General features: G+C 42.0%; 1 protein-coding gene and 1 long non-coding RNA gene across 14 annotated transcripts, besides 5 other annotated features; one reads left to right on the forward strand and one right to left on the reverse strand.

The window, feature by feature from the left end:
- Nucleotides 1-120: an enhancer, noted in NCBI's record as "active region_1951". NCBI's record gives its function as "activates an Ori minimal core promoter by ATAC-STARR-seq in GM12878 lymphoblastoid cells {active_cell/tissue: GM12878}" and the evidence as "EXISTENCE:reporter gene assay evidence [ECO:0000049][PMID:35858748]".
- Nucleotides 1,756-6,883, reverse strand: LOC124904440 (uncharacterized). The gene is made up of 2 exons (XR_007066687.1): nucleotides 6,807-6,883; nucleotides 1,756-1,977 (listed from the first exon to the last, which is right to left on the reverse strand). It is a non-coding gene; the product is annotated as an uncharacterized LOC124904440 (long non-coding RNA).
- Nucleotides 6,781-22,545, forward strand: SLAMF7 (SLAM family member 7). 13 transcript variants are annotated; one of them, XM_011509828.1, is made up of 7 exons: nucleotides 6,971-7,080; nucleotides 15,918-16,238; nucleotides 17,545-17,856; nucleotides 18,028-18,147; nucleotides 19,069-19,172; nucleotides 19,910-19,972; nucleotides 20,830-22,545. In XM_011509828.1, the coding sequence occupies exons 1-7, from the start codon at nucleotides 7,026-7,028 to the stop codon at nucleotides 20,899-20,901; spliced, it is 1,047 nt and encodes a 348-aa protein (XP_011508130.1). In that variant the 5' UTR covers nucleotides 6,971-7,025; the 3' UTR covers nucleotides 20,902-22,545. The 13 variants fall into 13 exon arrangements, with proteins under 13 accessions (NP_001269524.1, XP_011508130.1, NP_067004.3 ...); NM_021181.5 differs by having other exon boundaries at nucleotides 17,545-17,817; NM_001282595.1 differs by lacking the exons at nucleotides 6,971-7,080; nucleotides 15,918-16,238 and adding an exon at nucleotides 6,781-6,862 and having other exon boundaries at nucleotides 17,545-17,817.
- Nucleotides 10,053-10,132: an enhancer, noted in NCBI's record as "active region_1952". NCBI's record gives its function as "activates an Ori minimal core promoter by ATAC-STARR-seq in GM12878 lymphoblastoid cells {active_cell/tissue: GM12878}" and the evidence as "EXISTENCE:reporter gene assay evidence [ECO:0000049][PMID:35858748]".
- Nucleotides 19,487-19,546: a silencer, noted in NCBI's record as "silent region_1463". NCBI's record gives its function as "represses an Ori minimal core promoter by ATAC-STARR-seq in GM12878 lymphoblastoid cells {active_cell/tissue: GM12878}" and the evidence as "EXISTENCE:reporter gene assay evidence [ECO:0000049][PMID:35858748]".
- Nucleotides 23,216-23,265: an enhancer, noted in NCBI's record as "active region_1953". NCBI's record gives its function as "activates an Ori minimal core promoter by ATAC-STARR-seq in GM12878 lymphoblastoid cells {active_cell/tissue: GM12878}" and the evidence as "EXISTENCE:reporter gene assay evidence [ECO:0000049][PMID:35858748]".
- Nucleotides 24,816-24,885: a silencer, noted in NCBI's record as "silent region_1464". NCBI's record gives its function as "represses an Ori minimal core promoter by ATAC-STARR-seq in GM12878 lymphoblastoid cells {active_cell/tissue: GM12878}" and the evidence as "EXISTENCE:reporter gene assay evidence [ECO:0000049][PMID:35858748]".

The following is a 27,414-nucleotide window of genomic DNA, read 5'->3' on the forward strand; positions in this document are numbered from 1 at the left end:
CATTCTTTCTAAATTTTCTCTCAACTTTCTGGAGTTTCTAAATTTTCCCCCACACTCTGCTCTACCATCATACCAATCTCACAAAAGATGCAGTCATGAGGGCCTGAGAAATCACACAGTTTTGTGCTCCTAATTTTCTTCTCCAAATACAAAGAAGAAAATGCTGCATATCATTCATAATTACTCAATTTTTATTGCTCAGGACACCCACTTACTCATTTGATATACATATTGAAGGTCTGCTATATACCAGGCACTCTTCTAGTTACTGGGGATAGGGCAGCAAACAAAGCAGACAAAGTCCTTCTTCTGATGCTTCTTAGATTTTAGGGTAGCAGATCCTAGAAGGAAAAAATAATAATAAGGCAGGGTAAGGAGATAGAGAGTAAAAGATCAGGGAGTGATGTTCTATAGGGGCACAGGAGCCCCTGTCTGATAGGTGACACTGAGTAGATCTCAAGAAAGAGATAGCCATATGGTCATCTGGGGAAGGGCCCTCCTCTAGTGCAAAAGCTTTGGAGTGTGCTTGGAATATTCAAGAACATTGAGGTGGTTAGTGTGACAGGTGTGGAATACGTCAGGGGAAAGTGATGGGAGATGACATTAAAAAGGTAGCCAAGAACCATCATATGGGGTCTTGGAGGCCCTGGGAAGAAGTTTGTATTTTATTCAAAGAGCTATGGGAGACAACTGGCAAGCAGAGGAACAACATGATCTGACTTATGTGTTTAAAGAATCACTTTAGTAGCCTGTGAAAAATACATTATAGGGGACAAAGATAGAGGCAAGGAGACTAGTTAGGCGGCTGTTGCAGTAGTGCAGGTGAGAGATGGTAGTGGCGAAGGTGGTGAAGGCAATGAGAAGTTATCAGGTTCTAGGCATTTTTTCCAAGGCAAAGTCAATAGAATTTTCTGATGGATGGATATGGGGATAAGAAAGGGGAGTCATGGATAATTATAATTTTCTGTCCTGAAAACCTGAGTGATTGGAGCTGCAGTTTACTGAGTTGGAGAACACAGATGGAGGAGGAGGTAGAAGGTAGGCAAACAGGAGTTTGATTGGCACATGTGAAGTTTTAGATGCCTTTTAAATATCCAAATGGAGATTCTGAGTAGGTAGCTGGATATACAAGACTTGAATTCAAGAAAAAGGTTACAGTTGGAAATAAAATTTGGTATTTCAAACCAAGAGACTGAATGAGATCACCTAAGGAATCAGGATAGATTAAAAAATGAGTAAGTCTAAGGACTGAACCCAGAGACATTTTCCATTGCTATAAAGGAATACCCAAGACTGGGTAATTTATAAAGAAAAGAGGTTTATTTGGCTCATGATTCTGCAAGCTGTACAAGAATGGCACGTGTATCTGCTCAGCTTCTGGTGAGGGCTTCAGGAAGCTTACAATCATGGCAGAAAATGAAGAGGAGCAGGCATGTCATATGGTGAGAGAGGGAGAAAAAGAGAGAGGGGAGAAGGCACCAGGCTCTTTTAAACAACCAGCTCTCACATGAACTAATAGGGCGAAATCTCACTTATTACTATGGGGAGGGCAACAAGCCATTCATGAGGGATCCACCCTCATGACCCAAACACTTCCCACTAGGCCCCATCTCCAACACTGGGGATCACATTCCAATGTGAGATTTGGAGGGAATAAATATCCAAACCATATCACTTGGGAAGGAAGGAACCAAGAGAGAGTACAGTCTCATGGGCCAAAATGTCTCAAGAAAGAGGGAATGATTAACTACCAAATGCTTTTAATTAAATTTTATTTTACAAAGGCAGTCACTTTCTAATTCAACATAGGCTTTACTTTCATTTTCAGTTCTTCTTTTGATGTTTTTTTGGTGGAGTACCCCCAGGACTTTTCACTGATCTCATTCCACCCAGCTCAGGCCCCTTTCCATTTCATAATAGTTTCTCTCCATATCTTCCCAGAAATCTTGGCTTGGTCATTTTCAGGAATAAGGAAAGCTGAGACATGGAAAAAGAGTAAAATTGTTTGAATGAGAATGAAATATCTGCTCCAAAATCACCTCTAGGTCAATTTATACAGGATATCTCATCTCCATCCTCATTCTGTTTGCCAAGATTTTCAGGATTCATAATCATGGCACTTTAAAACTACTATTTCTGCCATTGCCACATTTGTACTAGTATGGTGCACAAATGGGTGATACCTCATAATGGAAACATTACTGGGTTTGAGGTCATCACAATATTTTAGTTTCTGGCTTGGCTGTGCTAATAAAATGCTGTGTAACTTTGGGGAAAATACCTCTCTGGCTCTTAAGAAAATAAGGTCAATATTAGTAAACAAGTTGTCAACCTGTGACCCAAGTTAGAAAAATGTCTTGTTTACAATTATGGTCAGACATTATGCTCAGTCTCTTATTAGTTCTCACTGTTTGCAGATTCCTTTGGATTTTCTACATCCACAGTGATAGGGTCTGAAAATAACAATTATTTGTCTCTCTTTCTAATCCAGTTACATCTTCTTTACTTTTCTTGTCTCATTGCTTTGGCCAAGACACCAGGTAATTAATAAATACTATCAGTGACTAGAGAAATCCTTGTCTTAGTCTTGACTTTGATACTACTTCTTCTAAAGGTTCAGCATTAAGTATGATGTTTGCCAAAGTTTACTAAACATTTTTGAAATTATGAATCCATATTTTTATCAAAGTTTTTACTATGTCTTCTGAGATGATCATATGTTGTTTTACATTTAATCAATGTGATGGACTATGCTGATAAATTTTTGAAATATTGGCCCATTCTCACATTCATGGGATAAATGCTATTTAGTCATGGTGTGTTTTTATATGCCAACGGCTTTGATTTGCTAAAGTGTCATTTAGGATCTTTGCAACTATCTTCATAAGTGATGCTGGCGTGTAATTTTCTTTTCCTGTATTTGCAGGATTTGTGTATCAAGGCTCCTTTTAGCACATATGCCCTCCCTTTCCATGTGCTGTGGATTTCTGCACTGTTTCTCATTCACAGAAATTTTTCCCTTAGTTTTGAGCAAGGCCATACATTTTAATACATTTGAAAATGCTTTATCTATCATTACTGTGTTTTTCAAGTCCACATGGATTCGTTTTGCCACTTGACAGGAAGTCTTTTTTAAAAGATTTGACCATTATTTCAATCAAGTCAGTGGAGAGAATGGATATAAAAACATGTGATCAGACATGAGAAATTACAGACAAGATGGAGTGAGTGAATTTATCTCTATTCTTGCCACTAATTACAAATTTTAAAAAAAAAATCCTGGACATAATATATAAAACACAAACACAAGAAGATTCTAAACAGTTGAGAGATGAAGGGGGGCAAGGAGCCTCTGGACATGAGGAATGACATGACAATGAGTTACCCGTGTTTTCTTTTTGTCCCCTGTGTATTGTAGGCCATGTGCTAGATAAGAATATAATCTAGAAACGCCAATCCCAAGGATTTTCTGTTCTCTCCTGCCAAAAGACTGGAAAGGGGACTGCTGGAATAGAAGCCTTTAAACAATAATCACCATATTCTAGCCAAACATCATGTGGAAATATGGGACACCACCCCCCCGCCAACAGCAAAGGCCAAGTGGAAAACCTATATTTAAACCCCCCACCCCACCCCTTGGCAGTAAGGAATCATCCCTCCCCACTCCCCACTCCCCACTGGGGTGGCATCAGAAGAGGCTAAGTAGGAAGACTGAACATGCACTCCCTCCCTGAAGCAATGAGGCACTCCTCCCAATTCTTGCTTTGGGTGGTGTCAGAAAAGGCCAAATGGAGGGTCTGGATTTTTACCACTGCTCAGCAGTAATGTGGTCCCCTACCTTATCATCACTGTGTCAAAAATCACTCATCATAACAAGAACCAGGACAATCTTGACTTGAATGAACAAAAGGCAATCAACAGACACCAAAACCAAGACAACACAGACGTTAGAATTATCTTACAAGGATTTTAAAGAAACCATAGTAAAAATGCTTCAACTAGCAGCTATGAACACATTTAAAACAAATAAACAAAAAAACTAGAAAGTCTTTAAAAAAAGAGTAGAAGATATAAAGAAGAACCAAAGGGAAATTTTAGAATTGAATAATACAATGACTGAAAGGTAAAACTAATTGAATGAGTTTAATGAGCTTAATAGCAAAATGGAGGCCAGGGCCAGTGGCTCATACTGGCAATCCCAGCACTTGGGGAGGCCAAGGTGGGCGGATCACCTGAGGTCAAGAGTACAAGACCAGCCTGGCCAACATGGCAAAACTCTGTCGCTACCAAAATATAAAAATTAGCCAGGTGTGGTGGCGGGTGCCAGTAATCCCAGCTACTTAGGAGGCTGAGGCAGGAGAATCGCTTGAGCCCAGGAGACAGAGGTTGCAGTGAGCTGAGATCGTGCACTCCAGCCTGGGCAACAGAGTGAGACTCTGTCTCAGAAAAAATAAAAAAATAAAAAATTGCAAAATGGAGATGAAAAAGGAAAGAATCAGTGTACTTGAAGATAAACAATAGAAAATACCCAATCTGAAAACAGAGTGAAAATAGGCCAAAAAAAAAAAAAAAAAAAAAAAAAAATGGAGCCTCAGAGCCCTGTGGGAGAAAAACAAAAGATTTATAACATTCATGTCATCAGAATTTTAGGAGAGAAGCGAGAATGTGAGGCTGAAAAAAAAGTATTCAAAAAATAATGAAATTTCCCCAAACTTAGCAAAAGGTAAAAACCTACAGATTCAAGAGACTCAATGAATCACAAATAAGAGAAACCCAAAGAAATTCACACCAAGACACATTATAATCACACTTCTGAAAACTAAAGACAAACAAAAAACTTTTAAAACAGCTAGAGAAAAATGACACATTACCTACAGGGAAAACAACTTAAATGACGGCTGATTTCTCACTGGAAACCATGGAGGGGAGGAGTGTCATGACACTTTTCAAGTGTTGAAAGAAAAAAAACTGTCAACCTAGAATTTTATACCCAGGAATGAGGGTTAAATCAAGACATTCTCAGGTGAAGGAAAACTAAGATAATTTGTTATCAGCAGGCTTATCATAAAAGAATTCCTAAAGAATATCTTGAAACAGAAAGAAATGATTAAAGAAGAAAACTTGAAGGCTGGGTGTGGTGGCTCATACCTGTAATCCCAGCACTTTGGGAGGCCAAAGTTGGTGGATCACCTGAGGTCAGGAGTTTGAGACTAGCCTGGCCAACATGGCGAAACCTGATCTCTACTAAAAGTACAAAAAGTAGGTGGGCATGGTGGCATGAGCCTGTAGTCCCAGCTACTCAGGAGGCTGAGGCAGGAGAATCGCTTGAACCCAGGAGGCGGAGATTGCAGTGAGCCAAGATCATGCCACTACACTCCAGCCTGTATGACAGAGCAAGACTTCGTCCAAAAAAAAATAAAAAGAAGGAAACTTGAAACATTAGAAATAAAGAAATAACAATGAAAAGAGTTAAAATATGGGTAAATGTAATGGATTGTCCTTCTCCTCTTGAGTGTTCTGAATTATGTTCAACAATTGAAGCAAAACTTATAATCTTACCGATATGGTTCTCAATGAATATAGACAATATATTTAAGACAAGTATAAAGATAGACTAATAAAGAAACCTAATATAGGTAAGTTTTCTATACCTAGTTCAACTGGTAAAATGTCAACACTGATAGGTAGATCAAAAGTTATGTATGTAAAATGCAATATGTACAGCAACCAGTAAAAAAACTCTTCAAAAAGATACATTATAGATAAATCAAAATGGAATTATAAAAAATATTCCAGTAACACACAGGATGGCCAGGAAAGTGAAACAGAGGAACAAAATAAACAAACAAAAGCCCAGAAGAACAAAGAGAAAATAATAACATGGCAAACTTAAGCTCTGATATATAAATAATTACATTATGTAAGTCAGTTAAATAGAATAGATAGCTCCAGAATATACCCACACAAGTATAAGTGCTGATTTTTGATAAAGATACAAAAGTAATTCAATGTAGGAAAGATCATCTTTTCCATCACATGGTAGTAGAACAATTGAACACCCACAGGCAGAAGAAAAAAAAACACGCACATTGTAATCATACTTCTGAAAACCAAAGGCAAACAAAAAACTTTTAAAACAGCTAGAGAAAAATGACACATTACCTATAGGGAAAACAATTTAAATGATGGCTGATTTCTCACTGGAAACCATGGAGGGGAGGAGTGTCATGACACTTTTCAAGTGTCGAAAGCAAAAAAAAACTGTCAACCATATTACCTGATATGGTTCTCAATGAATATAGACAATATATTTAGGTGAATCTCAACCTAAACTTCACACCTTACATTAAAACAGGATCATACATTTAAATGTAAAACATAAAACTATAAAACTTTCAGGAGAAAACCTTTGGACCCTAGTGTGGGTAGAAAAAAAACTGATAAGTTGAATTTCATCAAAATTAAAATTTTTGCTCTGCCAAAGACCCCGTTAAGAAGATGAAAAGACAGGCTACAGACCAAGAGAAAATATTTGTAAACCACATATCTGACAAATGACTCTTATACTTGGAACATATAAGGAATTGTCAAAGCTCAACAGTAAAAAAAATAAAGAATCTGATTATAAAATGGACAAAAGACATAAATAGACATTTCACCAAGGAGGATATGGATATATAGATGGCAAATAAGCACATGAAAAGATGTTCAACATTATTAGGCTTTAGGGAAATGCAAATTAAAGCCACAATGAGGTATCACTACAGCACCTATTAAAACAGCTAAAATATAAAATGGGAATATACCAAATGCTGATGAAGATGGGGAGCAAATAGATCTCTCATAGATTGCTGGTGGCAAGGTAAAATGCTCTATTCACTCTGAAAATAATTTAGCAATTACTCAATCTCACATGTCTGCGGCGTGACCCCTCCTGCTTCTTTAAATATCAGCTGGGGAAGAGGTCTGAGTAATACCTAAGAGGGAAGTGGCTTCATTTCAGTGGCTGACTTCCAGAGAGCAATATGGCTGGTTCCCCAACATGCCTCACCCTCATCTATATCCTTTGGCAGCTCACAGGTGAGTCCGGCCGGATTCTCTTCCACTCTCCTGTCTACCCCATCCTGAATAGTTCCAGGTTTCTTGTTCCACTCTGGGCCTCTGGCTCAACTCGGGAGGCTCTGTGTTCTCATCTAACATTTGCTTTTTATCAATCTCTGATCTCTGATTCTCAGGTCAGGAAGAGACTAGAGAGAGGGGGAAAAATGGCTCTGGGAACTGACTCCCCTGTTGACTGTCCCAGGGATGAAGGAGCTGAAAGAAGTGGTGCTGGGTATCAGAGACCATTTTTCTAATCCAGGTTCTGCCATGAGTTAGATAAGGAATGTTAAAGTTTTCCTGGGCCTCAGAAACTTTATCTTCTAGCCTTCTCTCCTTTTGAGGGCAACTTTAAGAACAAGATGATACTATACAGGTATGTATTTATTTACTTATAAATGTATTTATAAAATTGGTTATGCATAACAGTAATATAAATGGAAAGAATCACTTGAATTTTCTTTCCTTACTCAAGCAATGTAATCAGTCTCTACTTAGAGAACCAACTCATACCATAGGCACTTTATGTTTAATCCCATGGAGGACAGAGGACAGTTCTCCACCTGTCACTGGTATTCTAGTCTTTGAAGATTTTTCTATCCTAAGGGCTCTCAGAAAGGATCAGGAGCCCTATAAGTGAGAAATATCTCTTCTGTCATCAATCTCATGGAGTACTACCATGAGGTCCCCCTATAAGGACTTCACATAACTGCTTCATTATGTGTATCTGAGCCTGCCTGGAGTGATCTGCCCAAGACCACGCAGGCAGCTGGTGCCCCCAATATTTTCCCCTGCATCGCTAAGTGGTCAGCATCAGCAGACTCTTACCCACTTTGAATTCATCAGAAGTTTGTATTTTTGAGAGGTACCTGGGTCTAACCAGGTGGTTCTGGAATAGGCCCTCACTTTAAAAAAAAAAAACAAAAAAAAAACTCCCTGAACGGAAATGATGAGCAGAAATAGAACTTGAGGGAGATAAGGTGGAGGGGTTGGGGAAAATTATAGAGACTTTGAAAGCTACAGGTGTCCATCTGAAATCAGTCAGCGAAAGAGCACAAGTATGAAAAACTGCCATGCAGGTCCCCCTCTGCCCTCCTCCAGAGGCAGCCTGTGTAGTGTACCTCCTGAGGCTGAAAGGAGACAGAGATTGTCCTGGAACTTCCAGTGGGCAGGGCAGTGGAACAAATCCTGGCACTGGACAAGCGCATCCTTGGTTTGACTTAGTAGCTGTATTATTGTAGGCAAATTACTCTTCCCTTCTGAGCCTTGCTCTTCTCAGGTGTGTAACAGAGAATGAAATCTAAGTTGCAGAATTATTGTGACATTTTAAATGACATATCAAATGCAAAATAATTATTAAAATAATCACCATTTATTAAGTTACTACATCGCAGGTGTTTTTCATACCACCTCCTCATGAGTCTGTAAGACAGATATCATTATCCCTGTTTTACAGTTGAGGAAACTTAGGCTCAGCAGAGAGATCACGCTTCTTGGGCAAGATAACACAGCATTTATAAGGTAGCCAGAGATTGAGTTTAGAAAGCTAGAAAGCTAGTGCTCTTTTAATCATAACAAGCCGTCTATCACTGGACCTGGCACCAAAGAGATGCTCACTACATGTGCATTTGAGCTGAATCTTCCTCAGGGAGTACCAGTTGGGGTTTCTTCCCTCTCCAGGTACATAAATCTGAGGTAGAAACTGGAAAGGCCCGAGAAGAACGGGTAGCTCTGTTTCTGGGATATGGGTGTACCAACAGGGGGCCACCCTGGCTAAACTCAGAGGGTCCATGAAGCAGTTCTCATGGCCTCAGTATTCTCATCTGAAAAATGGGCACAGTAATCTGCCAATGATTTGATGATACAGTAGTGTCAAGGAGACAATCAATAAAAAGAAAACAAAAAAGTGGGTGAGGGGAATTGGGAGAGTGTTGAAAAGAACCAGAAGAAACAAGGAAGAGGGGGCAGGAGATGAGTGAGGAGCAGAGTGGTGAGCAACCTAAATGTGAATGTGGTCGGTTAGGGCTAGAGTGATGGGAAAGGTGTGTGGTGAAGCGGGAAACTTTCAAGCCTCTGTCTGTGGCTGCCTTGTGTGGCATTGAATTACACTGCTCTTTCGTGAGTACATTCGTTAAGGGGGACTTGAGTAAAGTGCAATAGATTTCAAACCACTTTGGGTTTTTTTTGCCTTTTTTTTTAAATCCATGGTTTCCTTTTATGGAATGAAATTTTACACAGAAAAAAACAAATAAATGACTCCAATGTATAGAGTTGAAGCCTAACGGAAGCAAGTCCCATAGCCTCCTATCCTACGCTCACCCCTTAAACCTCCTCCTGAGCTCCCAAGAAATACACTGAGGCACTGCCACAGCCTCCAAAGGTGGCGCCATGGGGCACAGTCTGTGAAATCCTGCCTTAGGAGCCTTGGCTCCTAATCCTGGCCTTCCACTGGTTTGGGAAACATCACCATAACCTTCTGAATATCAGCCTTCTTATCTGTGAAATGGGATTGGACTAAGTAATCCCTAAGACTCCTCCAAGCTCTGAGATGCTCTGGTTCATGGTTTTCATGAGGAGAGTGCCACAACACACTGCTACATTTGGACAGAGGCACCAAGTGTTCAGAGAAGTGCTTGGGGACGGGGTTGGCAAGCAGGAGGCAGGCTTTTCCACTCTCCCCTCCCCCAAAGTCTTCCTGCTTTATCACCATCCCTTGGTTCTGGCTGCACTGATAATGTATCTTCCTCATAATCGGGCTCCTTCCCTCCACTCAACTCTTGAGACTCTAGGGGACAGGACAGGGGAGGAGGTGACAACCAAGAGGAAAGGAAGGTGACAAAGGGCAGGACCTGTTATCCCTTCCTGTTACAGAGGAAATCTCACAGCTGACTCCTCCTGATGCAAAGACATCTGAGTCTTGGCTGGGGCAAAAGACAAAGGGTCTCCTGCCCCAGCTCCCTCCACCTTCAAAGGCAGGCGGGGGATGTAGTGGGGAATGCTCATGGCCGTCTTAACTTTCTGGCTTACTTTGCTGAGAAGCCATCCAAAGGTGTTTTGGGATATCTCTGTTTCTCATTTTTAGCTATCTGTGCAGAAATAAAACCAAAAGATGGGAAGCCTCCTCAAGGCCTGACTCTCATGCTCTCATTTCCTGACCTTGTCACCCGCATCCCACCTTCTCGTTAGGCTACTCTGTACTTCTCAAAATGCTTTCAAATCTGTATTCACACTTCATCTTCCCCAAATGCCTGGAAACTAAATGTTGTTATTTATTTCTCGTATGAGGGTTCAGAAACCAAAACTCGAAGTGGTAAGTGGTGAAGCAATATTGGAAACAACACAGACCACTGAGGCAGAGGAACTAACTCCTCTTCCCTCTTCCAACATTTCTTCATTGGGGCTTTAGGAAAGTCACCCCACTTCTCAAAACTCCAGTATCCCAATTTATAAAGCAGGGCTTAGGCTGTATCTCACGGGGCTGTTCTAAGGATCAGGAGAGAGGATGCCCACTGATCTGGCTTACAAACCACAGAGTGACACCAGGTGTTTGCTGCTGGAGTTATGACTACGGAGGCGGCAGAATGGACCCAGAATGGACCCTGACTCCCAGTTAGGCCAGAGCCCTTTCTCCCTCTGCCACATGCTGGAGGAGGAGAAGCGACCTCTACCCCTCTCTGGGCAGGACTTGGTGACCCCATCATTGGGTGATCTGGCCTCTAATCCTGTGGACCAATCATTGGCTAATCCACAGCAAAATGATATATGCAGCGACCACCAAGGGAGGATATTTCTTTCTGGAGAATTTAAAGTGTCAATGAAGTGAAATTAGTGGTAAATTTTCAGGGGATGTGTGAGAGGAAGAGTTGGAGGCTTCCTCAGGGAAGAGCTTTGAATTAGATACAGGGTTTGAATAAGATTTACATGAACAGAGAGGAGGATAAAGCACAAACAAGAGTGTGAGGTAGAAAGTGAGCTGAGGATCAGGGGAGGGAGGAGGCCGGGATGTTTGTGTGGTGGCCACATGTGAGTGGCAGTCCCAGCTGCATATCTTTCCACAGCAATACATTGTCATCCTGGCCTTACGCAGTCAACCCATGTCATGTGACACCCCTGAACTAATTACTGTACATGAGAAGGGCTACCACCTGAACTGGGTAGCCCAAACCATTTGGCTTGTACGGAATGAGGAAGGGGTAAAATGGATGTAAAAGAGGCAGGTTACAACCTTCACTGCACTGACTCAGGTAGAAGGTTGGCACCTGAGGAGAGTGGATGAATATCATGGGACCCAATCCTCTCGAGTCTTGTGGGTAGAGGTTGGTAGCCACTCTGTCTCCAGGGTCTCACTCTGTCATCCAGGGTGGAGTGCAGTGGCACGATCACGGCTCACTGCAGCCTCCACCTTCTGGGTTCAAGGAATCCTCCCACCTCAGCCTCTCGAGTATCTGGGACCACAGGTGAATGCCACCACGCCCAACTAATTTTTTCATTTTTTGTAAAGACAAGGTCTGGCTATGTTGCCCAGCCTGGTCTCAAACTCCTGACCTCAAGTGATCCTCCTGCTTCAGCCTCCCAAAGTGCTGGGATTACAGGCATAAGCCACCAATTCCAGCATCTTCCCTTTCCATAACACATGTAGTTATTTATTTAATGACTATCTACCAACTCCGTAAGTGCCAGAATTATGACTGTCTTGCTCCCCAGTTATACCCTCAGCTCCTAAACAATGAGAACTAAATAAATTCTTGTTAAAAGAAGGAATGACTGAATCTGACAAGTGTGACCTGCTTAGATATGGTAAAACTCTATAGGGTCACACACTGCAGGTGCAAAACCATCACAGAAAGAAGAGCTTCAGTTCAGCCTTGGACAACTGAAAAAAGAAGTGTCTTGTTTCTGGATCCCTTTTCGTAGTCAGCTGAGAAGCAGAAGCAAAACTGGTTAGGAATCTCCAACCTTGCCCCTGTCCTCTGAACCCACATTCCGAGAATGGCATGGAGCTACTGTTTTCTTTCGTTACCCCTTGTCTCACCCTGAAGATACATTTAAGATAGAACAATATACTCCATCTATAGGCTCATGTTGGTAATTTGCCCTGTCTCACTCTCAAACTGTATTCTAACAAGAAACAATGCGTTTGGCAACATTTTCTTATATCCCACACGAGTCATGTCCCTTGGCATTTACCCTGAGAATACAGCACTACGTGTGTGGAAGCGTGAAAAGAGTAATTGCATGTGAAAAGAGTAGTTGCATGCTAGCAACTAAAGCCACATCTTTGTAGTTTTGCCACTTCCTCACCTTAAATTATAGCTTCAAAATGAAATGTGAAAATGAAATTACTTGAAGGTTGCCCTAAGTGTAGAAACTGTACCCATTTGGGGCCAAATGATACCCAATCTTTATTTGACTTCATAAGATTCACCCCTTTCATCTCTGCTGTTGAAGTAAAAGAACAAATGCATTAACTGATCAAAATTTCAGAATAAAATTGATTTTGTCTGTAACATTTCCTGGCACTATTTGGACTTGACACTCCTAAAGATGAACAAAGAGAGCAGTCGAAAAACCATCCCGGCCTTAATATTAAGGAAGCATAGAGAACAGTTTTTTTAAAAAATCAGATTACTTAATGGGATGATTTAATAAAAGCTTGAGTAATCCAAAGTATATATGTACCAACTGATACATTTTAGAGGGAAAAATGTTTGAAAAGAGAAATCAGCTCCTAAAAGATACATACCCAAGAAGAGGAATCAGTACTTTGGAGATAAATTTAGCAAAACGTTGGCAGAGACTTCAGATCTGTAAGCAAGGGAGTGGGTCACCATTTGGTAGCATCAGATTTCCTCACCCTGGGGCACTGGTAGGGCAGTTTATGCTTGAGGGAAGGTCACCAGAGGACAAGAAGGGAAATTATGGTCCAATGGCACCCAAGGGCTTTGAAATTGACACTAGAGTCCCTTAGGGGGATGGAGAAGGGGAGTGAGGGAGAAGGCTGGAGCTGGTACAAACGCCAGGGGGCCTTCAAATTGAGCCATAGTGAAAACAGTCCAGGTCCCAGAGCTGGAGAGACATTGGGTTAAATCCTCAAATCGTCACCTGCTAGCTTTGTGCCCTTGGATAAGTTACTTAGCTGTTGTTATTTGTTGTTGTCGTTGTTTGAATCTCAATTTTCTCATGAAGTCAGGAGTTAGCAAATTTTTTCTGAAAAGGGCCAGAGAATAAATATTTTAGGCTTTACAGACAATAAATCATGGTCACAATTATTTAACTCAGCCTTTGTAGTGAAAAAGGATCCATAGACAATATGTAAATGAAAGAGCCTGGCTGTGTTCCAGTACAATTGTATTTACAAAAACAGGCAGTGGACCAGATTTAGCCTATGGGTTATAGGTTGCTGATCCTTGTGTAAAAGGGTCAAAATGCCTAATTTGCAGGATTGCTTTGAGTGTTAGGCATACTCTTTACAATAAACGTTTGGTGCAGAATAAACATTTAATACATGACAACTCTTATAATTTGGAAACCCTTGCCAAGATATTTGATTTTAACAGGGACCAAAGAAATAAATCTCTAATGAAGCAATTTTTGATATCTGGATATGTCTGTATAGGAATTTGTCCTTTTACTAGAAAAGGCATGAGTTACATCAGTACTGGAGTAGAAGAAAAGATTGTGTCTAAGAGAGCAGGCTGTGAAATGAAACAGAGCCTGGATGCTTGGTCAGTCTCACAGGGCCAATTACACACAGGAGACACTGTACATAAGGCCCACGATAGTTTTAATTTTAATTTCTTTTAAAATCAGAAGAGAAATGAATATAGCAATAACAATAACAATGAATATATAATGAATCCAGCCCGGATCACATTCATTTTATACCAACACAGTCATGAAATATGATTTTTAATATTTCTTATGGAAGAAGGACCAACAAGGTCAAAAGTACACAGGAACCACAAAAGTCACCATGTAGCCTTGCAGTAGCATCATTAGAACTGTCAGGATCCTATAGCTTGGCTGTTTTGTTGGCTTTGCTTCTTTCATTTGTGCTTTTCATGACTGAATTAATAAAAATTCCATTTAAAAATTTCACCCTGACACTTTATGTTAAGAGGCAGAAGGGGAAATAACTTTGGGTTTTGTACTTTTAAGGAGAACACCTTTGTTGACAGCTGATGTGAGACCTCAGTTCTTGTCTACTTAGTTTAAAAGAATTTATATGAGAGATACACAGCAAAGGAAATACAGCATAGGGTAATTGATTGCAAAAGAATAAGAATATTTTGACAGTTAAGTGCAGAAAAGACAGTACATTCTGAGAGAAGGAAAATTCAGGGTGGGCTGCCCATAAGGATGAGACAGCAAAGACTGGCACTGGGGAGACCCCCTTTATGGGAGTCTTACATGATTATTCATAAGAGGGTGGGAAGAGGTGTTACTAGTAACCATGTTCTTGGTGGTCCTCTGGGTGGACGTGCACAGTAGCTATACATGCTTCTTCATAAATCTCGTGTCTCATTAGCATCTTAAATCTCCACCCATGGGTGTGTTTTTTACTATTATAATGAGCAAAGGGTCAGTTTGAGAACAAGTAAAATCAAAATCCGCATGCTCTCTACAGCGGAAAGTCCTCACTGAAGATAGCTTTGCTTAAATGAGCTCAATTACAATGTGAATGCTGAGGCTTATTGTATTGACTGTAGGGTCACCAGAGTTACTGCCTCCTGAGAACACTGTTACTTCCTTGACTACCTAACCTGCCTCACCTTTAAGGATTTAGTCTTAGTTTTTGTATTTCTATCAGCCTTGAATAAGTTCTTATCATTTCTACTATTTAGTTTTCTCATCTATAAAATATGCCCTTCAAGGTCTCGACCCTGTGGGTTTTGGTGTGTACTCTGCCTCTTACTAGGTGGCTTGAGTAAGTCATTTACCCCCACTGTGCCTCACATTCCTGATCCGTAAGATAGGGATATAAAGAATGTTTCTTCAAAAAGTTGTTTTAAGAGTTAAACAAGGCTGGGTGTGGTGGCTCATGCCTGCAATCCAGCACTTTGGGAGGCAGAGGCGGGCAGATCACTTGAGGTCAGGAGTTCAAGATCAGCCTGGCCAACATGGTGAAAACCCCACCTCTACTAAAAACACAAAAATTAGCTAGGTAAGATGGCACACACCTGGACTCCCAGCTACTCAGGAGGCTGAAGAAAGACAATCACTCTGAGGCAAGACAATCACTTGAACCCAGGACGTGGAGGTTGTAGTGAGCTGAGATCGTGCCACTGCAATCCCGCCTGGGCAACAGAGTGAGACTCTGTCTCAAAAACAAAAGTGTTAATCAAGATTATAATTTATGCTTTTAAACTGCTAGTCCCAAACTAAATTCTCTCACTGCTCTGTGTTATTCCCAGAGTCTGTCTCTCAAGTTTAATAGGTAAGAATAAGATGACTTACTCCCCACATCTGTTTACTGGTAATGCTCAGCTGGCCACTTCTGGAAGTTTCTTCAGCAGACATTCTTAACTGTTTTTCACCTACAACCACATAATCAGTGATGATTTTTTATAAGTCATACTCTCTGGGAGTGAACTAAGATTGTTGTGATACATAAATTTCTAATATAATGCTTCCATGTGAGCACTTACATAATAGGGTAACATGTGAGGGACCTCTATATGAGGTTCCAAAGGCTTTTCCAGGAGGTTGTTGTGTTGGACTGAGTGGGTTTCTCAGATCTCTCCAGGACCCAAAGGGGGTGAGTAATTGGTGACAAGGACAGGGAATCAGGCTTATTTTATGGTTCTCTGTGTTTATAGGGTCAGCAGCCTCTGGACCCGTGAAAGAGCTGGTCGGTTCCGTTGGTGGGGCCGTGACTTTCCCCCTGAAGTCCAAAGTAAAGCAAGTTGACTCTATTGTCTGGACCTTCAACACAACCCCTCTTGTCACCATACAGCCAGAAGGGGGCACTATCATAGTGACCCAAAATCGTAATAGGGAGAGAGTAGACTTCCCAGATGGAGGCTACTCCCTGAAGCTCAGCAAACTGAAGAAGAATGACTCAGGGATCTACTATGTGGGGATATACAGCTCATCACTCCAGCAGCCCTCCACCCAGGAGTACGTGCTGCATGTCTACGGTGAGCAAAATCAGTTCCAATGGTGGATGGCTGCCTTGGTGAGGTGGTGAGCTCCTTGACATGAGAGATGTTTAAGCAGAGGCTGAATAAACACTTGGCAAGAATGTGGGAGAGGGGACTTCTGCATGAATGAAATAGATGTAGCTGACCCCTGAGGTCCCTGCCTACTCAGAGATGTTGTAAGAAGCAGCGTGGTGCAGTGGATGGCTGATATGTGCAGTGGCCATCGCATAGATCAAGGTCAAATGCTGGCTTCTTTATTTAGTCACATGACCTTAGCCGAGTTATTTAATTTCTTCAAGTCTTAGTTTCCATATCTGTAGTGGGGAGGAAAGAAATGCCTACCTTAGGAAGATTTTTGGGCAAAATATCGATCACATCTCTTTCTCTACAGATTACAACCAATTGATAAATAGATGCAAGAAGGAGGGGATTAAAATATCAGCATATTTCTGGTAAATCTAGACAGGAGAAATGCTTCCTTTCAATTCTAGACCTTGGCACTCATCCAGGGAAGTTAAAATTATGAAACAATGACTCAAACTTCTTCAAGAAGAATAGCTGCTTCACTCACTGAGCCACAGTATCAGGAACCTTAGGGGATGGGCCTCCAGACTTGCTTGTAGGAGGTAGGCACTGCACCTGATCCAGGTGTGTCTTCCATATAGACATGGTTGAAGGGAACAGAAGATATGTATTCTGCAGGCTAACTAGTCAGGGGAGGAAGAAAAAGGGCAAAACACATTTTAACTGCAACCTTTAACGTCTCAAACCCATGAGTAGAGAAAGGTAAATGATGAATGTCAGACTCTTACCATCTCACCAATGAACCAACTACTCATTCTCTGAGGCAGGGGAGTGAGCACAGAGTAGAGAAGGGGGCCAGAAGGGCTACTCCAACACAATTTTCTCCTAGAGAGTAAAGTGAACTCTCATAGAGAGTAAAGGGAAGCCTGAGGACAGAGACTAGGGAACCTCTAGAACAGATAATATTAGCGGACATCTAACATGCGTTATCACAGTGCTTGCCATGTGGCTATGCTTAGTAAATGACAGTTATATTCTTATTGCATTATTATTTCTATTATTTCTATTGTTGTTATTGTTATTATTATTATATAGCTATGGTAAAGCAGACCTAGGTAGTTCTCTTTTCCAGATACGAATGAGGATTCTGCTCTGAATTACTGCTTTCTCTCCAGTCTGGAGCTCCCAGGGAGATTCAGGTCCAAGGTATCCAAGGATAATTCAGAGAATGGAGAGCTATAGGCAGAGTTTCCACCTCTGGTTTTCCTTCCTCTCACAGAGCACCTGTCAAAGCCTAAAGTCACCATGGGTCTGCAGAGCAATAAGAATGGCACCTGTGTGACCAATCTGACATGCTGCATGGAACATGGGGAAGAGGATGTGATTTATACCTGGAAGGCCCTGGGGCAAGCAGCCAATGAGTCCCATAATGGGTCCATCCTCCCCATCTCCTGGAGATGGGGAGAAAGTGATATGACCTTCATCTGCGTTGCCAGGAACCCTGTCAGCAGAAACTTCTCAAGCCCCATCCTTGCCAGGAAGCTCTGTGAAGGTGACTGCCTCTCCCCTCTCCACAGGAGACTCTGCCCAGGTCCTACACCTTCTTCAGCTCCTAGCCCCCATGGGAACAGACACTGTATGGAAACTGGAGGCCGCTGGGTGGTCACCAGGCTGGGAGGAAGGTGGCAGGTGCTCCAAGACCTGGGTCGTTTTCCTGAGCTGACTTTTCTCCCTTCCCTGTGCCTCCACCCATTCTCTGAAGGTGCTGCTGATGACCCAGATTCCTCCATGGTCCTCCTGTGTCTCCTGTTGGTGCCCCTCCTGCTCAGTCTCTTTGTACTGGGGCTATTTCTTTGGTTTCTGAAGAGAGAGAGACAAGAAGGTAGAGCGTGTACTATTTTTGTCCTCACCCACATTCATGTTTTTCTCCTTCACTGATTCAACAAGCACATATAGAGCTGTGTGCCAGACTTGGCATGAGGTGTTGAAGATGCAGAGATGAAGAAGCCACAGTCTCTGCCCTCAAGAAGCATACAGTCAGCCTGTGCTCCTTAGTTCTGGAGTAGAGAAAGTGCTGGAGGTCTTTCCCAAGGACACGGTTCTCCCAGTTCCCTTTCCAGGGCTCACTTCTCTCCTTCTCCCAGAGGGACATCCTGATGTGGCTCTTCTGTTGATACAGGCCCCACACTGCTGACTCTGCTCCCCTGACCTGGGAGGTGATGGCCTCCAACTCTGAGGTCCCCACAGACCAGCATCCTCTAGTCAATCCTTCCTATCCCTGTCAGAGCCCACAAACCACCCACACCCTTTCCACAGGATCAACCCAAGACCTCGCTTTACTGCCCACTAGACACATGGCTCCTGGGGAAGCCTTTCCCTGTCTCTCTCCAGTTGCACCCCATCCTGTGTTCCTAAACCCTGCTGATTGGTCTTCTGGGCTCCCACTGTCCATGTGGGTGATGGGGAGGGACCTAACATCAGTTGGGTATGACTTGCAGACTTTGAAATCTCCCTTCCCTCCTGGAAGCCCCTCTGAAAGTGTCTTTGACTTTCTCTACTTCCCACTTTGACCACCTTGATGGAGAGATCAGGAAGTGAAATGTTGGGGGTGGCCAATTCATCCTGATTTGTTTAGATTTTCCCAGTTTTAACACTGAAAGTCCTCTATCCTGAAAACCCTTCCATTACAAGGAAACTCGGCTGGTTGGTCACCCTAAGTGGGTCATCCAGGAGAAATGGTGGGCCAGTGGAAGTGGTGAGTGGTTGGAGAGGTGGCTTTGATTCTCTCCCAACTTGCTTTTAGAGTACATTGAAGAGAAGAAGAGAGTGGACATTTGTCGGGAAACTCCTAACATATGCCCCCATTCTGGAGAGAACACAGAGTACGACACAATCCCTCACACTAATGTGAGTCCCTTCTCATCTTTCCTGAGAACTGATCCTGTCTCTGAGGCTCTCCTTGTGAGGTTTTTCCATGGGTTTGGACAACATGGGAATGAAGAGGGGAGTGAGGATATATAGACTTAAAACTCAATGCACCTGTGCCTCCTCCAAGTCTTCATGGATTCTCTTCTGTGCAGAAGAAGCTGGTGGTCTCTGGAGCACCTGGTTCTGACTCACAATGCTCATGCTGTGGTCTGTGAAATCACCTGCTCCCCTCCACAGTTCATAACGGCCACACAAAAGGCCAGATTCCTTTTGCATAAGGCAGTGGGTAGAAGAGTGTGACTTTGACAGGATGTTTGAATCATGGTATCAGAAGACTTCTCTAGAGATCTCTCTCTCTCTCTCTCTCTCTCTCTCTCTCTCTCTCTCTCTCTCTATATATATATATATATATATATATATATATATATATATACACACACATATATATATAATATTTTTGAAATTCATTTTAACACAGTACAGTTTAAAAATAATGTAATGGCTTCCTGAAAAAAGTTATCAAAATTTATTATAATAGCAGTCACCAACAAGAGAACTTCCTACCTCCCTTCCCTGTTCCAGAACCCTCCTTTTCCTCTCACATCTCCTCCCATCTCTGCTTTCCCCTCTCTGGATTCTGAATGTCTCTCTGGCCTTGTCTATGTGATTCAGGAGGTGGGTGATGATTTCTTTTGTTTGTTGTTTGTTTTTAAAAGAGAACAATCCTAAAGGAAGATCCAGCAAATACGGTTTACTCCACTGTGGAAATACCGAAAAAGGTAAGAAGCTTTAGAGCTTAACTTCATCTTAATGGTTCCATTTCTTTTCCTGCTTCATGTTTAGGTCAAAATTTCTTGGACCCAGGTATCTCATACTCTCTAGAATTAAAAAGTACCCTAGTAGTTCCCCATTCCCTTTGCTTAGGGTTATACAAGAACATGGGGGATGGAAGAGAATTGTGTTTTAGGAATCGAATTGGGTAATCTGGAACAAATAGAGTAGGACAGAGGTTCTAGATCGGAATAATAAAGAAAATCAAAAGCCTTCTGACTGAAGTTGCAGACAAGGAAAAAGACCATGGCTTAGATTGTGCATGGAATGAAGAGAGGAATAGCTGAGAGGAGAGTCCAGCTTTCTCCTGAGACACCAGGAAACTGCAGGAGGGAGAGATCTCTACTTTTCTCCCATGGTCCAGCTATGTTACATCTGCTTTGCACCCTCCCCTCAGTTAAACTACTAATGCAGTAGCTTTAAGGCTTATTCCTTCACAGAGTACGGTTGGCAGCAGTAATGGTATCTTTCTGTCTCCTTTTTCTTCCTCTCCCAAACAGATCCAAAAAGATAAGAATCATTAAAGCAGTTTGCTTAGTAATAGAAAAGGTTGGTTTAGTGAATTATTACAACTGAACAAGGAAAGTTCAGTTCATTAAGCATTCAGCAAGATAAATATGCGTTAAACTTACAGAATAGTTTCTCTAAGCTAGGGGTGATTAAAATCAAACAGTGGGAGCCAGCATGCCAGCCGATTTGGGTTGGGTAACCTTGGAAATAAAGTTTCCTGGATGTCAGGGTCTCCATGGACGATCCAGAGCCCTGCTCACCTCCCTCACTCTACTTTCTTTTTGTCTGTCTTCAGATGGAAAATCCCCACTCACTGCTCACGATGCCAGACACACCAAGGCTATTTGCCTATGAGAATGTTATCTAGACAGCAGTGCACTCCCCTAAGTCTCTGCTCAAAAAAAAAACAATTCTCGGCCCAAAGAAAACAATCAGAAGAATTCACTGATTTGACTAGAAACATCAAGGAAGAATGAAGAACGTTGACTTTTTTCCAGGATAAATTATCTCTGATGCTTCTTTAGATTTAAGAGTTCATAATTCCATCCACTGCTGAGAAATCTCCTCAAACCCAGAAGGTTTAATCACTTCATCCCAAAAATGGGATTGTGAATGTCAGCAAACCATAAAAAAAGTGCTTAGAAGTATTCCTATAAAAATGTAAATGCAAGGTCACACATATTAATGACAGCCTGTTGTATTAATGATGGCTCCAGGTCAGTGTCTGGAGTTTCATTCCATCCCAGGGCTTGGATGTCAGGATTATACCAAGAGTCTTGCTACCAGGAGGGCAAGAAGACCAAAACAGACAGACAAGTCCAGCAGAAGCAGATGCACCTGACAAAAATGGATGTATTAATTGGCTCTATAAACTATGTGCCCAGCACTATGCTGAGCTTACACTAATTGGTCAGACATGCTGTCTGCCCTCATGAAATTGGCTCCAAATGAATGAACTACTTTCATGAGCAGTTGTAGCAGGCCTGACCACAGATTCCCAGAGGGCCAGGTGTGGATCCACAGGACTTGAAGGTCAAAGTTCACAAAGATGAAGAATCAGGGTAGCTGACCATGTTTGGCAGATACTATAATGGAGACACAGAAGTGTGCATGGCCCAAGGACAAGGACCTCCAGCCAGGCTTCATTTATGCACTTGTGCTGCAAAAGAAAAGTCTAGGTTTTAAGGCTGTGCCAGAACCCATCCCAATAAAGAGACCGAGTCTGAAGTCACATTGTAAATCTAGTGTAGGAGACTTGGAGTCAGGCAGTGAGACTGGTGGGGCACGGGGGGCAGTGGGTACTTGTAAACCTTTAAAGATGGTTAATTCATTCAATAGATATTTATTAAGAACCTATGCGGCCCGGCATGGTGGCTCACACCTGTAATCCCAGCACTTTGGGAGGCCAAGGTGGGTGGGTCATCTGAGGTCAGGAGTTCAAGACCAGCCTGGCCAACATGGTGAAACCCCATCTCTACTAAAGATACAAAAATTTGCTGAGCGTGGTGGTGTGCACCTGTAATCCCAGCTACTCGAGAGGCCAAGGCATGAGAATCGCTTGAACCTGGGAGGTGGAGGTTGCAGTGAGCTGAGATGGCACCACTGCACTCCGGCCTAGGCAACGAGAGCAAAACTCCAATACAAACAAACAAACAAACACCTGTGCTAGGTCAGTCTGGCACGTAAGATGAACATCCCTACCAATACAGAGCTCACCATCTCTTATACTTAAGTGAAAAACATGGGGAAGGGGAAAGGGGAATGGCTGCTTTTGATATGTTCCCTGACACATATCTTGAATGGAGACCTCCCTACCAAGTGATGAAAGTGTTGAAAAACTTAATAACAAATGCTTGTTGGGCAAGAATGGGATTGAGGATTATCTTCTCTCAGAAAGGCATTGTGAAGGAATTGAGCCAGATCTCTCTCCCTACTGCAAAACCCTATTGTAGTAAAAAAGTCTTCTTTACTATCTTAATAAAACAGATATTGTGAGATTCACATACAAAAAGATGCATTATTTTGCTATTTGCAATAGTGAAATTCTGGAAACTGCCAAAGAAACTGACCACCACAGGTGAAGGTCTGTTCATACATAGACATTAAGAATTATGGGTTAGGCCGGGAGCAGTGGCTCACGCCTGTAATCCCAGCACTTTGGGAGGCCGAGGCAGGTGGATTACTTGAGGTCAGGAGTTCAAGAACAGCCTGGCCAACATGATGAAACCCCGTCTCTACTAAAAATACAAAAAATATTAGCCGGGCATGGTGGTGAGCCCCTGTAATCCCAGCTTCTTGGGAGGCAGAGGGAGGAGAATTGCTTGAACCCAGGACGGGGAGGTTGCAGTGAGCCAAGATCGCGCCACTGCACTCCAGCCTAGGCGACAGAGCAAGACTCCATCTCAAAAAAAGAATTATGGGTTATACTCAGCATCATGAAATATACCTGTGTAACCTACACATGTAGCTTCTGAATCAAAAATAAAATTAAAAATAACAAATTTTTAGCATGTGCCTGTGGTCCCAGCTACTTGGGAGGCTGAGGCAGGAGGATCTCTTGAACCCGGGAGGTGGAGGTTGCAGTGAGCCGAGATCGCACCACTGCACTCCAGCCTGGATGATAGAGTGAGATTCTGTCTCAAAAAAAAAAAAAAATTGTTTAAAAAAAACTATGGGTTGGCCAGGAGTGGTGGCTCATGTCGGTAATCCCAGCACTTTGGGAGGCTGAAGTAGGAGGATCACTTGACCTCAGGAGTTCAAGACCACCCTAGGCAACTTAGCAAAGCCCCATCTCTACAAAAAAATACAAAAATTAGCCAGGCATGGTGGTGCATGCCTGTAGTCCCAGCTACTCAGGAAGGAGCTGAAGAGGGAGGGTCGCTTGAGCCTGGTAGGTTGAGGCTGCAGTGAGCTATAATTGTGCTACTGCACTCCAGCCTGGGCAACAGAGTGAGACTCTGACTCACAAAACAACAACAACACAACAACTATGGGTTTTCAAGTTAGAAAATGTTATGACATCACAAATATAAAAAGTAGAATGCAAATTTAATGTGCTATATGATTACAGCTGTGTTTTAGAAAAAATCTCTACAGGGAAAAATTTGGAAGAAAAAACATCAAAATAGTAACACCAGTTGTTTAGGGAGGGTGAAAGCTTAGGTGGCTTGGTTTTTTCCTATTTTCATTCATTTTCTGAATATTCCTCAATGAGAAAGTATGTATTGCATAATAGAGTAGAGGAAATTTTAAATAGGTGCTCAGTGAGAAAAACGAGGCACTACTCACTACGTGGGGTTGAGGGGAAAGTCTGAGACCCTCATGGTAAGGGTGTGGGGGAGGATGGAAAGACCTCCTCGAGTGAGAATGGGTGGGGAGAAAGGAGAAACCCTCCACATAATGACAGAGGAGAAGATGACTTTCCCTCAGAGAGGGCTGCTGGAGGCTGAGGGGAGCTTCACAGTGTGTGAAGACAGAGGCGTGGAGAGGGGGATGCTGGGACTGAGGATGCATCTGTTCTGCCTTCCCCTCTCTCCTCAGAACCCATTCAGATGATAAATAATTAGGGTTAATCATACTTTGGGGTTTTTTAAACCAGTGACTGAAACAGGACCTAGGGAGACCAATAGATCTGGTCTCTGGACACTCAATAAATTCTGTCCCAAAGCTAGTTGCAGAAAGAAGCTTCCCCTCATGAGTTCAACCAGTAGGCAAAGGAAACCACCAGCTCTTCAGGGTGAGAAGTCACACCACCTCATAGCCCCATTACATGCAGCCTCCAGAACTGTGTGGTTTGCAACTTGTGAGGTGCAAATAACAAATTCGTAAACATTGAAACCTTGGTGGAAAGTAAAGAAGGTATCTGTACCATTTCAGTAAGGCTTTCACTCATTCATTTGATCATGTATGCATTCATTCATTTATTCATTCAGCAGTACTTATTGAGCACCAGTAAGTGCTGGACATTATGCTGAACTCAGGGAATACAGCAGTGGGCCACAACAGAGGTCTCTGCCCTCAGGGTGCTTACATTCTAATGACAGAGGCCAACACTCAAATATCCTTTAAATAACATGGTTGCAGTGATGACTGCTATGAAAGAGAGGTGTGTGGAGCCAAGAATGGCAAATTTTCCTGTGGTCAGAGACAGTATCTCCAAAGTGATGAAGACTGAGCTGAGATCGGAAGATGAGTAGGAGCTACTTACAAGAAGTGGGAAGGGAAAATAAAACCCTTCTAGCCAGAGGTGCAAAGGCCTTGTGGTGAGAGGACCTAAAAGAACGAAAGTCAGTGTGGCCAGCAGAGAGAGTTGCACTTTTAAAATTTCATTAGTTGCAGTATGGGAAACAGATTGTAGGGGGTCAAGACTGGATGTAGGCAAACTGAGTCAGAAGGCTCTTACCGTTATCCAGGAGAGAGGTGATGGTAGGTTGGACAAGCATAGTAGGATGCAGAGAGAGGGAAGGATGCTCTCAAGAGGTATCTAAGGGATAAGGAGGTTCCTGCTTTCAGTACTGTCTTGGGAATGTGTGCTGATCTGGAAAAGGAGGTGGGAAGATGGGCCTTTGCTTTTGATAGCCTCTTGGGACTAGAAGGACAAAGTTTGGAGTCTGGGGCTACCAAGGTTAGAGAACTGGTAAATCCCTCATCTTTTTGACTTGGGACCCCAAAAGACTTACCCTAGGAGACTTATCCTTCTTGTAAACAAGAAGTACACCAGTTTTAATTCATCTATGGGGCCAAGAAAATCTCAAAACTGGTATTAGATTAAAGAGATCCAAGCTTACGAGTGCCCACAAGTACCTTACAGAAGCAAACAAAGACCATCACTAAAAGAAAATAACATTCTTAGGCCTCACAATTTTCCTACAAATAATTTTTCATAAGCAATGTTCATCATATGTTCAGAGATATCCAGGCCCATGAGGAGGATCCAGGCCCATGGGGATCATCCTCCTCCATGAGGAGACCCATGAGCAAGACCCTCCTGGTGGGGACAGCCTATCACAGACTGCAGCCCAGGATGCAGCCCGGCCCACCTCCCTCTCATTTCATCCCAAGAAGATGGAAGGAGGAACTTCCAGCCTCCTCAGTTCATGTACTTGTAGACAGACTTTAAAGATGTTTGGAGTTCTGACTATAGTCCTAAGCATACTCTTTATTGCAATCTGTCAAGAACATAGCCAGCAACAGGGAAGAGTTGATAAACCATAACATGATCATTTATAATATTTAATGTTTAGTACAGTCACAATTGCCAATCATTGTTCTAAATAATACATATATATATGTGTGCATGTATATACATATGTACATTTATTTAATCTTCATAACAAACATAACCATTTTATAGATGAGGTAGTTGAGACCAAGATTGTCTTTTGTCTAATTGGGTTTTGTGGGTTGTTTTGTTTTGTTTTGTTTTGTTTTGTTTTGTTCGGCTCATATGTATTACTGCTCTAGGCAGTATTAATTAATTGATTAATTTATTTAAAATTTATTATTTTAAAATAAATGCTGGTACTGCTTGTCTTTACTAATTATAAAAGTTATTTTTTCCTGCAATTAAAACTTATTATGCGTCTACAATGTGCTCCCCATACTTCTAAGAGCTCACAATCAAGTGGGAGACAGGGATATCAACAGACATTACAAGTTAAAATGGTAGGTAAGAAAATAAAGGCATATAAGACATATAGGGGGTTGTATTACTCATGGTTTTCCTGAGAAATAGAACCAATAGATTATTTGTAAATATATATAAAAGGAGACTTATTATAGGAATTGGCTCACGCATTAGGAAGGCCAAGAGGTCTCATGATCTTCTGTCTGCGGCTGGAGAACCAAGAAAGCCTGAGGAGTAATTCAGTTCATGACTTGGAAGGCCTGAGAATTGGGGAGCCAAAGGTGTAACTCTCAATATGACCCAGAAAGCCAGAGAAATGAGACTACCAGTGCCCAAGGGCAGAAGAAAAATGCATGTCTCAGCTCAAGCAGAGAGACCAAATTTGCTCTTTCTCTGTTTTTGTTTTTTTGGGGGTTTTTTTTGTTTGTTTGTTTGTTTGTTTTACCTTTTTGTTTTGTTTTGTTTGACATGGAGTTGTATGTTGCCCAGGCTGGCCTCAAACTCCTGAGCTCAGGTGATCCTCCTGCCTCAGCCTCCCAAGTGGCTGGGATTACAAGTGTGCACCACTGCATCTGGCCTTCCTCTGCCTTTTTTGTTCTATTTAGGCCCTCAACTGATTGGGTGGTGCTCACCCACATTGGTAAGGGTGATCTTTACTCAGTCTACTGATTCAAAAATAAATCTCTTCTGGAAACATCATCATAGACACACCCAGAAATAATATTTTACCAATTATCTGAGCATCCCTTAACCCAGTCAAGTTGACACATGAAATTCATCATCACGAGTCCACCCCTTGTCAATTTGGCACCCATACCAATCTCCTAAAACTCATACTTAATCTCCAAATAAAGAGAATAACAAGGCCATAATTCAATCTAGCATGATACAACAATCTTGCATGCAACTGAAAACACACTAGCCTCTTCCCCAGAAGAAGAGGTAAAGTCTTTGAGTAATATTTACTCTTCTCCTGATAGCTGTAACTTAAATATTATGACGTAAAATTAACAATACTTAAATACTGATATAAATTTAATACATCTTGTGTTACATGATAAGAAAAGATGACAGGAAAGAAAGCAAATATATTTGCCTAACATACATACACATAATTGTATTCATAACAAAATAAGGAGGAAATATCCATGACAATTACAGTCCTTATTTCTGTAACTGGTCATATGGTTGTAGCTGAAATTTACAATTACCTTTTTCTACTACACATTCTGTATTTCCTTTAACTTCAGCAAG

The sequence above is a fragment of the Homo sapiens genome, chromosome 1 (genome assembly GCF_000001405.40).
Source record: "Homo sapiens chromosome 1, GRCh38.p14 Primary Assembly".
Taxonomy (NCBI): Eukaryota; Metazoa; Chordata; class Mammalia; order Primates; family Hominidae; genus Homo; species Homo sapiens.

What these genes read in the sequence shown, in the direction of transcription:
- SLAMF7 (XM_011509828.1), top strand. Translation starts at nt 7,026, where the DNA reads ATGGCTGGTTCCCCAACATGCCTCACCCTCATCTATATCCTTTGGCAG. An exon ending in CCACAGGAGACTCTGCCCAG is followed by an intron (nt 17,857 to 18,027) that starts GTCCTACACCTT and finishes CATTCTCTGAAG; the next exon opens with GTGCTGCTGATGACCCAGAT. An exon ending in GAAGAGAGAGAGACAAGAAG is followed by an intron (nt 18,148 to 19,068) that starts GTAGAGCGTGTA and finishes ACTTGCTTTTAG; the next exon opens with AGTACATTGAAGAGAAGAAG.